The sequence below is a fragment of the Homo sapiens genome, chromosome 2 (genome assembly GCF_000001405.40).
Source record: "Homo sapiens chromosome 2, GRCh38.p14 Primary Assembly".
NCBI lineage: Eukaryota > Metazoa > Chordata > Mammalia > Primates > Hominidae > Homo > Homo sapiens.
The window spans coordinates 130,162,067-130,176,407 of record NC_000002.12 but is presented as its reverse complement, the minus strand read 5'-3'; the positions used below and the strand labels follow the sequence as shown (position 1 = coordinate 130,176,407).

The 14,341-nt window shown below is 50.1% G+C and overlaps 1 protein-coding gene across 9 annotated transcripts in view, besides 1 other annotated feature; it reads left to right on the top strand.

Annotated features, from left to right (window-relative positions):
• Positions 1–14,341, top strand: part of SMPD4 (sphingomyelin phosphodiesterase 4) — a 30,366-nt gene that overhangs the window by 5,350 nt on the left and 10,675 nt on the right. For 4 of the 9 annotated variants that reach the window (NM_017751.4, XM_011511444.4, XM_011511443.3 and 1 more), the window contains exons 3-10: positions 1,408–1,494; positions 2,752–2,894; positions 3,054–3,129; positions 3,513–3,621; positions 3,731–3,783; positions 3,908–4,059; positions 8,818–8,950; positions 11,963–12,034. In NM_017751.4, coding sequence (NP_060221.2) covers positions 1,408–1,494; positions 2,752–2,894; positions 3,054–3,129; positions 3,513–3,621; positions 3,731–3,783; positions 3,908–4,059; positions 8,818–8,950; positions 11,963–12,034 — 825 coding nt within the window. Of the gene's footprint in view, positions 1–1,407; positions 1,495–2,751; positions 2,899–3,053; positions 3,130–3,512; positions 3,622–3,730; positions 3,784–3,907; positions 4,060–8,817; positions 8,951–11,962; positions 12,035–14,341 lie in introns of those variants that run through there. The other 5 variants (NR_033231.3, NR_033232.3, XM_047444938.1 and 2 more) reach the window with 5 other exon arrangements.
• Positions 11,974–12,157: a silencer, noted in NCBI's record as "fragment chr2:130921824-130922007 (GRCh37/hg19 assembly coordinates)". NCBI's record gives its function as "represses an EF-1alpha promoter that drives an FKBP-Casp9 reporter gene in an ReSE screen in HepG2 liver carcinoma cells {active_cell/tissue: HepG2}" and the evidence as "EXISTENCE:reporter gene assay evidence [ECO:0000049][PMID:32094911]".

The window sequence follows — 14,341 nt, the reverse complement described above, 5'->3', positions numbered from 1 at the left end:
GACTGTGCCTCCTTATTACTACAGGACCTTGGGGTTACTCAACTTCTGGGCTCTGGGTTTTCTCACACAAGTTCATTCAAATTCTATTTTCTCTACTTCCCAAGGGTGTGAGGAGGAGGAAGAGCAAGTGAGAAGGATGTATATCAGAATGTTCATGACTTGTAAATTCTTAAATAGATATGAAGTATTCTAATAATCAGTCATAACTGTCATCAGTGAAAAATGGAGACACTGTTGTGCGGGGGCCTGCTAGGTTGCACTTTAAGTATTAAACATGATGCTGAGAACTGGGTGCAGTGGCTCATGCCTGGAGTTCCAGCTACTGAGGAGACTGAGGCAGGAGGATTACTTGAGCCCAAGAGTTTGAGACCAGCCTGGGCAACATAGTAAAGACTCAAAAAGGAAAAAAAAATGATACTGAGAAGTGAGAAGTTAGATATGAGGCAAGTATTGGTGATGAAAGTTCCTAATTTTAGTTCTTAGGAGGTGTTTTTGTAAACATTTATGTGGAAGGACATTCTTCCTCAGTGCACCCCACTAGAGTCAACAGGTCTGGCCCATGGCCAGATAGCTCAGGTCTCCATCTCTGTCTCAATCACTGTGAAATCCACCCTTGTTTGGAGGTAGACAAGGCCTTAGATATCCTTTGGCAAAGCTCTCTAGGTTGAAATTCTAGCCGTTTCTCCTGATCTTAATCCATTCGCACAGATGCCCTTTTTCTCCTTGTAGTCAGGGTGCTTTCCTCACATCCCACGACTAGGTAGATTTCATTAGTCCTTGTCCTGAGTCTTTTCTGGCCTCTCCATTGCCTTCATGATTAGTGTCTACTTGGCTGAAGCCATCTATAATTTTTGTCTGCCCTGTGTTTTAAGATCATTGGTTTAGTGGTTCAGTGTCTACCGAATAAAGGACAGCTCATTTAAGAGAGCTTCTGCCATAGCCGTGATGTTGTTGGGCGTTCTTACTGATGATCACAATGGTGTAATCACGGTGGTCCATCAGGCTGGAAATTTCCAGTTGATGCGTACAAACTCAGTTATACTCTGTGGTTTGTGAGGGGTGCCCTTACACAGTCAAGATCCTCTTCTGGCTGTGGGGCTGACTCTGGGACCAACCCCTACTTATGGATTGGTGGAAGTCAATCCTGTTCTGATCATGTGCAGCACTCTGAGGGGGTACTGGGAAACAAGGCTGATAGTTCCTGGTCCAGAGAGCATAGAACTACGGCCTCTCCTAGTAGTACTCTTTGGGCCACTGACACACATGAGGGGCTGGGGAACCAGGCCAGAGGTTATGGGTCTGACTCATAACCTATTGCTTGGATTTCTGTTTGACTCAAGCCAGAGTGCCACTAAAAGCTGCAGAGTGAATGTCCTCGTGACTTTTTCGCTTTGTTCTGTCTTCTAGGCTAGCCTGAAAGCTGACTCTATAAATAAGCCCTTTGCACAGCAGTGCCAAGACTTGGTTAAAGTCATTGAGGACTTTCCAGCAAAGGTATAGCTCTGCTAACGTCTCTCTTTGGAGCATGTCTTATACATTCGTTGAAGAACTTTATTATAATTCCTAATTTCCCTCCCCGCCCCAACCCCGAGCACTGCCTGGCACAGAGGCCTGGCCATTACCATGACCATTATGTTTACGGACACATTTAAACATGTGAACTTGTAGATCAGGGGTTCTCAGCCACAGATGCTCTGTTCCTCAGGGACACTTGGCAATGTCAGAGACATTTTTGGTTGTCACATCTGGAGGTAGATGGGGAGTGTGTGCTACTAGCTTCTAAGAAGTAGAGGCCAGGGTTGCTGGAAACATTCTGCAAAGCACAGGACAGCTCCCTGCGACAAAGAAGTATCTAGCCCAAAATGTCAACAGCACCAAGATTGAGAAACCCTGATGTAAATACTAAAAATATGTATTTAAATCACACCTGGAATTGTCAAGCCCAGGAAGCTGGCCTAGACAAGGAGTTAATACCAAATGGCAATAGGTCAGTTAGGTTTCAGGGGCTTCACTCTGGAAAGGATGTTGCTTTCCTTTCTGATAGAGCATCCTTCAAGTCAGAAGTTTCCATCACTGTTTAAAGAATCTTTTTTTTGTGGTGGCTCATGCCTGTAATCTCAACACTTTGGGAGGCCGAGGTGGGAGGATCACTTAAGCCCAGGAGCTCAAAACCAGCCTAGGCAACATACTGAGAACCTATCTCTACAAGAAATTTAAAAATTAGCTGAGTGTAGTGGTGTGTGCCTATAGTCCCATTTACTCAGGAAGCTGAGGTGGGGGGATTGCTCGAGCCCAGGAAGTCGAGGCTGCAGTGAGCCATAATTGCGCCACTGCACTCCAGCCAGGGCAACAGAGTGAGACCTTGTCTCAATAAATATGTATTTTGTTTATTTTTTTATTTTATATTTTTTTATTTTCATTGTTTGTTTTTTTTTAAATTTATTTATTTTTCTTAATTTAATCTTCTATCACACACAAAAAATGTATTTTGATCGGAGGCTGACTTACTTAACTGGCCCAAGTCTAAAGCAACACTGCTTGGTATGCCATGTACCCCACTGGAAGAACGTAAAGCTGCTCTTGTCGTTGGCACCATGGCACCAGGCTTCCTTTGGGTGCAGGGCTGATCCCATAGGTCTTAGCCAGGGAGTGGCTTCCTCAGAGGGAGCTGGGCAGCAGGTGGTGCAGGACTAGAGCCGGGGCAGGAGTGGGTGCTGGTCCTGCACGCGGCTTCACCACACATTGTTTCAGGAGCTGCACACCATCTTCCCATGGCTGGTAGAAAGCATTTTTGGCAGCCTAGATGGTGTCCTCGTTGGCTGGAACCTCCGCTGCTTACAGGGGCGCGTGAATCCTGTGGAGTACAGCATCGTGATGGAATTTCTCGACCCTGGGTAGGTAGGTTGGTCACCGGAGAGAGGCTGGGTGATTCCTCATGGTGATTCCACCTTTAAAGCACTCTCTGAATTTCTCAAGATTAAGAAACAATCAAAGCAAGATAATTCGCAGTTCATTTGCCCTGTTTTTGTTTGTTTGTTCAATTTCGTGTTCAGTGGCCCAATGATGAAGTTGGTTTATAAGCTTCAAGCTGAAGACTATAAGTTCGACTTTCCTGTCTCCTACTTGCCTGTAAGTAAACCACAGTGGCGAGAGTGGTGCTCGGGGCAGTGGGCCTTGCACAGCCCTGTGGTGATGGGCAATCTCCTCCAGTCCTCTGAGGGCAAATTGAGGAGCGATTCGTTCCAGGGGTGTGAGAGGCAAAGGAAATGGGTATTGCATGACTGCTACCCTTGCTGTCTGCAGCTCTTTATGAGATGATGGTAGGAGAAGTTCTAAGCAAAGACTCTTGTTCAGGCACTGCTCAGAGGCAGGGCACTGTCCCCACAGGTGGGTTCTGTGTGTGGGTCTCTTCCCCAGCAGCCTTCCCAAAGTGCTGCTGTGCATGTGGGGTACTGCGTATCGGGCACTACGCACCAGCACCTGCCCACAAGCCTCACTGCCTCTCTCTGCAGGGTCCTGTGAAGGCGTCCATCCAGGAGTGCATCCTCCCTGACAGTCCTCTGTACCACAACAAGGTCCAGTTCACCCCTACTGGGGGCCTTGGTCTGAACTTGGCCCTGAGTATCCTTTGGTGGCCCTGAGGTAGGGAGGCTGTGGGTGGCCCAGCACTTGACACTGAGCGGGGGGTGGCTCATCAACCCTGCATGTTTGCCCCTGACGCTGCTCTCAGATCCGTTCGAGTATTACATATTCTTCTTTGCCTTGAGCCTCATCACTCAGAAGGTAAGGAAGGGATGCCTTTTGCTGGGAGAGGTGGGGCCACGGCCCAGGGCTTCCCTGCACTTGTTGGTGCTTGGTGGCCTGGCAGTGTCCAGAGCCCATGCTAACAACTAGCTTGGTTTTCCAGCCACTTCCTGTGTCCCTCCACGTCCGTACTTCAGACTGTGCCTATTTCATCCTGGTGGACAGGTACCTGTCATGGTTCCTGCCCACCGAAGGCAGTGTGCCCCCACCACTCTCCTCCAGCCCAGGGGGGACCAGCCCCTCACCACCTCCCAGGTAAGGCTGCCCTTTGTTAAGACCTGGCCCTTCCATAAGGGAGTGGCCTGGTCACTTGCATCGCCCACGGGGACAATGTTGCCACCCTTTGTCCACGGTTCCCCAATTTTTCTTATGCCTCATTCCCCATCCCCAGCTGTCTTAGCACAGACTGGAGGGTGGGGTATGGCGGGCAATCTGTCCTTAGTGTTCAGTGTCTTTGGCCATCACTGAAGCTATCAGGTCCCTGGAGGCCTCCACGGCCTGCATGGGAATGGGCTGTGTTGTGCATGGAGCAGCCGTCCCCACAGGCGGTGTCTGAGTCAGTGAGCAGGGTGGAAAGGTTGTCCTATGAGCAAAAAAAATAGGAATCTCTATGGGCCCCAGGAGCAGATCTTGAAGGGGAGGCCCTGGGCCAAAGAGCCTGTTTTGTCAGTCCAAACAGGCTGAGCCTGATGCGTGCCTGCACAGGTTGGGAGTGTGAACCAGGGGCTCTCATGCCTGGCTGTCCTGGGTCCTCAGTGGGCACTAACGCAGGCCGACTTCCCAGGAGACCCTCTTGCCCCAGCAGCAGCTGCCTGTGCACCTCTGACCCTCTTTAATCTCACTGGCCCATCGCCTTCCCCAGGAAGCTGCATGCAGGCCCCTTCCTGCAGATGCTGGCCCACCCCAGATCTGCTGGCATGTGTAAGGCAGGCCAGGCCTTTACCTACAATTCACGTGTGGACAGATTCCCCAGAGGGTGGAGGGGAGAAAGGGAGTGGCAAGGAGGAGACGCTGCCCAGGTAGCGGCAGTGATCAGTGACCCTGAAATGTTGCTGATCCTGTGGAGGACTCGGAGGTGAGGCAGATTCACACCCTCTTAGATGCAGAATTCAGCTGCCAAGCAGTTTTTGATGCCTGGTTTTTTTGCTTGTTTTAACTTTTTGGGTTGTTTTAATTTTTTCTATTAGAAATTATATACGTAGGCTGGGAGTGGTGACTGATGCCTGTAATCCCAGCACTTTGGGAGGCCAAGGTGGAGGGATCGCCTGAGGTCAGGAATTCGAGACCAGCCTAGCCAACATGGTGAAACCTTGTCTACTAAAAATACAAAAATTAGCTGGGCATGGTGGTGCACACCTGTAATCCCAGCTACTCAGGAGGTTGAGGCGGGAGAATTGCTTGAACCCGGGAGGCGGAGGTTGTGGTGAGCTGAGATTGCACCACTGTACACACACACAAAAAAAAAAAAGAAAAGAAATTATATATATATGGTTTGGGTTTATTTATTTATTTTATTTTATTTTATTTTATTTTGTGTTTGGAGATGGAGTCTCACTCTGTCGCCCATGCTGGAGTGGTGCAGTGGCATGATCTTGGCTCACTGCAACCTCCATCTCCTGGGTTCAAGTGATTCTCCCACCTCAGCCTCGCAAGTAGCTGGGATTACAGGCACAGGTCAGCATGCCCGACTAATTTTTGTATTTTTAGTAGTAACGGGGTTTCACCATGTTGGCCAGGCTGGCCTCAAACTCCTGACCTCAGGCAATCCGTCCACCTTGGCCTCAGACAAAGTGCTGGGATTACAGGTGTGAGCTACTGCACCCAGCATTTTTTTTTTTTTGAGACAGGGCCTGGCTGGGTTGCTCAGCCTGGAGTGCAGTGTTGTGATCACAACTCACTGCAACATTGACCTCCTGAGCTCAAGTGATCCTCCCACTTCAACCTCCCAAGTAGCTAGTACTATAAGCATGCACCCCCACACCTAGCTTTTATTTTATTTTTTTGTAAGATGGGTCTTGCTATGTTGCCCAGGCTGCTCTAGAACTCCTGGGCTCGAGCGATCCTCCTGCCTTAGCCTCCCAAAGTTCAGAGATTACAGGCATGAACCACTACACTGGTCCATTGTGTGCTTTTTTTTTTTTTTTTGACAGGGTCTTACTCTGTTGCCCAGGCTGGAGTGCAGTGGCGCTGTCTCTGCTTCAAGTGATTCTCCTGGCTCAGTCCCAAGTAGCTGGGACTACAGGTGCCTGTCACCACACCCAGCTAATTTTTGTATCTTTAGTAGAGACAGGGTTTCACCATGTTGAGCAGACTGATCTTGAACTCCTTACCACAAGTGATCTGCCTGCCTCGACCCCCTAAAGTGCTGGGATTACAGGTGTGAGCCGCCGCTCCTGGCCTAGCCATTATGTATTTTTAAAGACGGTCTTACTCTGTCACACAGGCTGGAGTGCAGTGTCATAATCATCACTTGGTGGCACAATCATCACTCAAGCCAGCCTGTCACATCAGTGACTATAGGCATGCATCACTACAGCCAGCTAATTTAACTTTTTTTTTTTTTTTTGCGGAGATATGGGGATGCCTCGCTGTGTTGCCCAGGCTGGTCTTGAACTCCTGGCCTCAGCAATCTTCCCGCCTCAGCTTCCCAAGTAGCTGGAATTACAGTTGCAAGTCACCACACCTAACTTTTTATTTTGAAATAACTTCAGATTTACAGATAAGTTTCCACGCATAATAAAAATAACTTGCAGGCTGAGCACAGTGGCTCACGCCTGTAATCCCAACACTTTGGGAGGCCAAGGCGGGAGGATCACTTGAGGCCAGGAATTCGAGACCAGTGTGGGCAACGTCGGGAGACCTCATTTCTACAAAAAAAAAATTAGCCAAGTATGGTGATGTGCAACTATGGTCCCAGCTACTCAGGAGGCTGAGGTGGGAGGATCACTTGTGCCCAGGAGCAATGAGCTGTGAGCGTGCCACTGCACTTTAGCCTGGGGTAACAGAACAAGATCCTGTCTCAGGGAAAAAAAAAAAAAAGAAACTTTCATAGATCTTCACCCAGATTTCCAAACTGTTAATACTTTGCTGCATGTGTTGGTTTCCACCTCTATTGTATGTGTTTTTTTTTCTCTAAGCCAATATGAGTAAGCTACAGGATATGGCATCCCTTGACCTCTTAATATTTCAGTGTATTTCCTAGAAGCGAATGCATTATCCTATATAGTCACAGTGCCTGTAACCACACCAGGAAGTTAGTATTGCCACCAGGCCTCACACTGTGTGCAGTGATGTTTCACAGGCTCACCCACTGTATATAGTGATATTTCTAGTCCCCTTCAGTCAGGAATGGTCCCTTGCCTTTCTGTCTTTCCTGACCTTGACCCCTCCAGAGCATGCGGCCGCCCCTTAGGCTGTGTGGTATTTGCTGGTGACTAGGCCCAGCATGGGCTTTGTTGGGAGGAGCACCGTAGTGGGACACCTGGTCCTTGCCAGGTGCCCTTTTATCACTGGGTTAAAAAGGTGCCGGTCAGGTTTTTCCATTGTAAAATAATTACTTTGTGCCCAGGTTAAATAGTAATGAGGCTGGGCATGGTGGCTCATGCCTGTAATTCCAGGACTTTGAGAGGCTGAGGTGGGCGGATCACTGGAGCTCAGGAGTGTGAGACCAGCTCAGGCAACATAGCAAAATCCCATCTCTACCAAAAATTTAAAAATAACCAGGTGTGGTGGTGTGCGCCTGTAATCCCAGCTACTTGAGAGGCTGAGGTGGGAGGATTGCTTGCACCCAGGAGGCGGAGGTAGCAGTGAGCCAAGATCATGCCCCTGTACTCCAGCCTGGGCTACAGAGTGAGACCGTATCTCAACCAAAAAAAAAAAAAAAAAAATTAATAGTGCCTGGGCAACATAGCATGACCTTGTTTCTACTAAAAAGAAAAACATCAGCCAGGCGTGGTGGTGTTGGTCCCAGCTACTTGGGAGGCCTAAGTCTAGGAGGTTGAGGTTGCAGTGAGCTGTGATTGCATCATTGCACTCCAGCCTAGGCGATAGGGTACGATCCTGTCTCAAAAAAAAATTGATAACGAGAATTTACCGGGAAGATGTATGGAGACTATGTAATTATCAGTAGTATTAACATCCACTTTTGATTCTCCTATTTTTTCAAATTGATTTTATTTGCAGACAGGGTCTTGTTCTCTTACCCCAGGCTGGAGTGCAGTGGTACGATCTCTGCTCACAGCAACCTCAACCTCCTGGGCTCAAGTGATCCTCCTGTCTCAACCCCCCAAGTATCTGGGACTACAGGGAGGCATCACCACACCTGGCTAATTTTTGTATTTTTTTGTGGAGACAGGGTTTTGCCATGTTGCCCAGGCTGGGAATTTCTTAATTTTTTAGAAACAGGGTCTTGCTCTGTCACCCCAGGGTGGAGTGAAGTTGGTACGATCATTTGTCACTATAGCCTCAACTCGTGGGCCCAGGCCATTCTCCCTCCTCAGCCTTCTAAGTAGCTAGGACTACAGGCACATGCCACCAGGCCCAGCTGTTTTATGTTTCAATGTTTTTGTGGAGATAGGTTCTCATTTTGTTGCCCAGGCTGATCTCAAATGCCTGGCCTCAAGAAATCCTCCTGCCTTGGTCTCCCAAGGTGCTGGTGTGAGCCCCCATGCTCACAGGTGTGAACCCCCATGCCCAACCTCACTGTTGATTCTTGACCAAATCAGCTATTAATAGGGCGGTTACTAAATGGTGGTTCTCTAACTTCATCCCTCCTTCATTGATTTGTGGGTCAATGGTCACTCTGTGGTAAGGAAGACTTCTCTCTTTGCTATTTATTTATTCAGGTATATCAGTGTGGATCAGGGGGCTGGGGGGAGGTGTGCATTGTGCTATTGAACAAGTTGTAATCTGTCCCTGCTCTCGTTGATTTTGATATCCAGATTGCCCCTGTTACAGCGGGAGCGAGTTACAGCGGGAGCCTGTAACTCGGGCCTGTTTCTGTGTCTCCCTCAGGACACCAGCCATACCCTTTGCTTCCTATGGCCTCCACCACACTAGCCTCCTAAAGCGACACATCTCTCATCAGACGTCTGTGAATGCAGACCCCGCCTCCCACGAGATCTGGAGGTCAGAAACTCTGCTCCAGGTGAGAGTTGAGCTGGTCAAAAGAAACTGTTCAGCCAGCTGGGCATGGTGGCTCGTGCCTATAATCCCCAGCACTTTGCGAGGCCTAGGTGGGCAGATGACCTGAGGTCAGGAGTTTGGGACCAACCTGGCCAGCATGGTGAAACCACGTCTCTACTAAAAACACAAAAATTAGTTGGGCGTGGTGGCAGGCGCCTGTAATCCCAGCTACTCGGGAGGCTGAGGCGGGAGAATCGCTTGAACCCAGGAGGTGGAGGCTGCAGTAAGCTGAGATCGTGCCATTGCACTCCAGCCTGGGTGACAGAACTAGACTCCATCTCAAAAAAAAAAAAAGAAAAAGAAAAGAAACTGTTGCCACCTTCCACTATGTGGGGCAGAGTCCCAGAGGCGGCCCCTCAGCCCGGGGCTGATTCTAAATTGTTGATATTTTCCTGCTGTGACATTTAGAAAACATGAAAGTAAATCTGCCCACCCTTTTAACTTGAATGTCATTGATGGCGTTTTTCATCCCAGGATCCCCTGTCCATGGAAGTTGTTTCGTTTTGCCTGTGGTGATATAATTGTTGCAGAGTCTTTTGGTTTCCATGACACTGAATGGTGAGGGGTCTGTGCAGCCTCCACAGGCCTTCCATTGATTCAGGGGATCCAAGTAGTAGGTGACAGATTTCCTTGTCTGCCCAGAGGGGCTCCAGCCTGTCAGGATGGTATGGGCTGGCTCACTTCCTGAGTGCTGGCCAACTCCCAGGTCCTGGCTGTGTCTTCTAGGCACACAGAGAGATTCAGCAGGTGCTGCTTCTGACGCTGGATCCTGGGGCTGACTTGGTAGCCACAGCCTTGCTTTACAGCCTGGCATGTAGATAAGATAGGATTCTATCTCCCATCTTATATGTAACTCCTAGTATTTGGGGTGCTGCACTTTTTGAAGCCTCCATACCATTTCACAGCATCCTCGCAGGGTGGAATGGTAAGAACCGTTGCCCCTGTTCACAGAGGGGACCATGATGCCCAGATGGCTCTTGGCTGTGTGGACCGTAGGCTGTGCTGGCCATGAAGAGGGCAGAAGATCATGACACAGCGCTTATAGGGAAGAACTGGAAGGTTCTGCTGTTCCCTGGGCCAAAGCATTTTTTTTTTTTTTTTTTTTTTTTTTGAGATGGAGTCTCCCTCTGTTGTCCAGGCTGGAGTGCAGTGGCTCAATCTTGGCTCTGTGCAACCTTCACCTCTCAGGTTCAGGTGATTCTCCCGCCTCAGCCCCCCGAGTAGCTAGGATTACAGGTGCCCACTGCCATGCTCAGCTAATTTTTGCATTTTTAGTAGAGATGGGGTTTCACCATGTCTCGAACTCCTGACATCAAGTGATCCATTTGCTTTGGCCTCCCAAAGTGTTGGGATTACAGGCGTGAGCCACCGTGCCCGGCCCTTTTTGTTTTTTTAACTAAGAAAAAAATTTAATTATAAGATATATATAACATGAAACTTATTGTCTTAACTATTTCCAAGTGTACAGTCAGTAGTGTTGAATACAGTCATGTTGTTGTGCATGCAATCTCCAGAATGCTTTTCATCTTGCAAAACTGAAACTGAACCAGCCCGGGCGCAGGGGCCTCACACCTCTAATCTTAGTGCGTTGGGAGGCCCAGCAGGAAAGGATTGCTCAAGGCCGGGAGTTCAAGACCAGCCTGGCCAGCATAGTGAGACCCCATCTCTTCTAATGAAAAACAAGGAAATCAAACCATTAAACAATTCCCCACCCAGCACCTGGCAACCACTATTCTGCTCTCTGTTTCTATGGAGTTGACTCCTAGATCTCATACCCAGAGTATGCGTAGCACATAGTACTTATTTGTGTGTGAGTAGCATGCTTCACTTAGCATAATGGACTAAAGATTAATCCATGTTACAGCATGTGTCAGAATTTCCTTGCTTTTTAGGGCTGAATAGTGTTCCATTGTGTGGATGTACCACATTGTGTTTATTCATTCATCTCTCAGTAGACACTTGAGTTGCTGGGTTTTTTTTTTGTTTTTTTTTTGAGACCGAGTTTTGTTCTTGTTGCCCAGGTTGGAGTGGAGTGGCACGATTTTGGCTTACCACAACCTCTGCCTGTTGGGTTCAAGCGATTCTCCTGCCTCAGCCTCCTGAGTAGCTGAGCTGGAATTACAGGCATGCGCCACCACGCCCGGCTAATTTTGTATTTTTAGTAGAGACACTGTTTCTCCATGTTGGGTCAGGCTGGTCTCGAACTCCTGACCTCAGGTGATCCACCTGCCTTGGCCTCCCAAAGTGTTGGGATTACAGGTGTGAGCCACTGTGCCCAGCCCTTTTTTTTTTTTTTTTTTTTTTTTTTTTTAAATCAGAGTCTGTCTTTGTTGCCAGGCTAGAGTGCAGTGGTGCAGTCTTGGCTCACTGCAGTCTCAAACTCCTGGGCACAAGCAATCCTCCCACCTCAGACTCCCAAGTCGCTGGGATTATAGGTGTGATGCCTCACCACACCCAGCTAATTTTTGTATTTTTTGTAGAGACAGATTTTCATTATGTTGGCCAGGCTGGTCTGGAACTCCTGGCCTCAGGTAATCCCACCCACCTCGGCCTCCCAAAGTGCTGGGATGACAGGGTTGAGCCACCATGCCTGTTGGTTGCCTTTTTACTCTATCTATAGTATTTTTTCATGCTCAAGAGTGTTGATTTTGATGAAGTCTAGTTGTCTATTTTTTTTCCTTTTGTTGCCTGTGCTTTGGGCATCATATCTAATTAATCATTGCCAAATCTAGTGTTATGAAGTTTTCTCCCATGTTTTCTTCTAAGAGTGTATGGTTTTAGTGCTTATCCTCAGGTCGCTTACCCATTTTGAGTTATTTTTTGGTGATGGTGTGAAGGAAGGGCCCAGCTTCACTGTTCTGCACATGGGTATTCTGTGTTCCCAGCTCTGCTTGTTGGAGACACTGTCCTTTCCCCACTGGATGGTCTGACACCATTGTCAAGAATGGTTTGACTAGCTAATGCTTTTTTGCAGGTTTTTGTTGAAATGTGGCTTCATCACTATTCCTTGGAGATGTATCAAAAAATGCAGTCCCCTCATGCCAAGGTATGTTTTCAGTTTTTCTTCCCACCTCCTGCTTCTGACCCTGCTCAGCCTGCTGCTTCTTATCCTGCCTCTGAGTGAGTTTTCACAGGCTGGATGGTGGGAAGCAGAAACCCACCACCCACCTGTCACTCAGAAGCCAAATAAGAAGTGGGCATCGTTCTCTAGTTTCCGGTGGCGGGCAGGGGGCATTGCACCCTGATGTGTAGAAACTTGAGGCCTGGAAGTCTGGCCTCTCCGGGGCCCTCCCTGTGCAGCTTCCTGAGCCCCCTCCCTGGCAGCAGGAACAGATGAGGTTGTGGTGCTCTTGCTCTGGGAGTGGGGGAGCTGCGATGCCTCAGGGAGTCACTTTCTTGTCTGTCTCCTCGACCATCAGCAGTGCCTTTGTGCTTTCCCATGAAGGGGTGGCCTGGAGCCTCCTTTGCCTGCTCACCCTACTCCCCCACCTTCTCCAGAGCATGAGCAAGCAGCCCTTCTCGTGGCGAGTGGCACCTGGTGCCCCCCTGCATGCAGCCTGGCTTGCCTCCTCTCCCTCCGCCTCGCCTGTCCCTGCTCTCTCTCTCTGGGCAGCACGCTGCTTTCAGATGCATGGAGGTGGCGGAGGCCCTGGGTCATTCCTGCTGTTGCCGTTCCTGGAGCTAGCACCACCCCTGGACCGGTCAGAGTGAGAAAGCAGCTAGGTGAACCTTAGATCTCCAGTCAGTCATCTCCATGGAGCAGCTTGACTCATGCCCATCCGTGCCCTTGCCTGAAGTGGCATCAGCCACGTAGTCTGGTGCCCATGGCGTCTGTGCATCAGTATGCTTGGGAAACTTTGGCTTTGTCACTGACAGAATTATTGAGGGCTTCCTCCAGAATGTGGGTGATGGAGTTAAACTTCAGAAGAGCATCCTGTCACTTTTCCTCTGGTTCTGGCAAAGAGCTGTGGGTCTGCTTCTGCCACAGTCTGCAGCCAGTTCCATGGCCCCATGCTTTGCCATGTGGAGGCTCTCTCAGAGCATAGGGTCCCCCAAATCCTCACCCTCAGAATCACATGGGCGGAGAATGGGGAAAAGCTGAGGACCCCATCTTGGGCCTCTTGAGTCACAAAGAGCCTGCAGTGCCCTTCCTGCTTCCAGAGCAGACTTGCTGCATGTTCCTGGCCGGTGCCTGGGGGCCTGGTTATTCCCTGAGCCTGCTCCTCCCGTGGGGCTCTGGGACACTCAGCACTCGTGCATGTGGCGTGGCGTGGCGTGGCCTGGCAGGGGCAGAGGCCACTGCACCGCATTGTGTTCCTGTTGCTCCTTCTGCCTTCTGAGGGAGTGGAAGCACACCTACTTTCAAGAGTCAGCCAGAAAGGCTCTTTGAGGCTGTCACCTGTGAGGATTCTGTGTCCTCACGGGCCAGAGGAAGGGCAGGGGGCTGTCCCTGTGGAGGGCAGGAGGTGCAGTTCCCTTCTTCCCCACATTTGCTTCCTCTTGGCCAGACCTTGGGGTGGGTGGACCCTGCTCAGAATACCTTGCAGTGGCCGGACCAAGTACCCAGAGATGCTCCACTCTTCGCCTCTTCCAGTTCAGGCAAAACACAAAACGCAAGAAAACTTGGTGGGTGGGAGTCAGAGAAAGGCAGCTGTGGAGGTCTGTGTCTCCCAAGGCTTCTTGCCGCTTGTCCAGGCCTGTGCTACACGTACTGCCATGCAGAAATCCCTGCCCGTCCCCACTAGCCCTTATTTTCAGATGCAGGAAGTGAGGCTCCTGGGGTCATCCTCCTCACCCTGCTTGAGTCCAGGATGCATGCTTGCTCCCCAGTGGCCCTGTGGGCAGTAAGGATGGCCATGGCGCTGTAGGCCACTGTGTTCCTGCAAGCAAGGGCAGAGCCACACTGGGGAACTATGTGTCTGATTCCTCCCTGAGCCCCAGGTCTGGCACAGAGGAAGGCTGTGGAGGGCAACACCTCCCTGCCCTGCTCCTTCACTCCCTGCTCTGCGTGTCATGGCGACTGGCGTGTGTTCTGATTTCTCCTGTGTGGAGCCCAGTGGGTGTGCTGCTTGGGCAGGAGGCATGCTGCTGGCGGGGCAGGATGTGCACCAGGCCGGCTGTGGCTGCACTGGGCTGAAGGGGTGCTTCGGCAGGCCGTGGTGCTGCAGGGCAGCAGGTCGGAGGGTCCTGGCTAGGAGCCAGCTCAGCCTCAGGTTCCTGCTGCCTCTGGGTGTGTGTGGCTGTGGCCAGATCCTCAGGGGCTCCCGCCCTTGGGAACCCACTGTATCTGGAGGGTGGGAGTTTCTGGTGCGGTAGGAGAGGCTGCCTCCAGGAGTCAGAGCTGATGTGCACA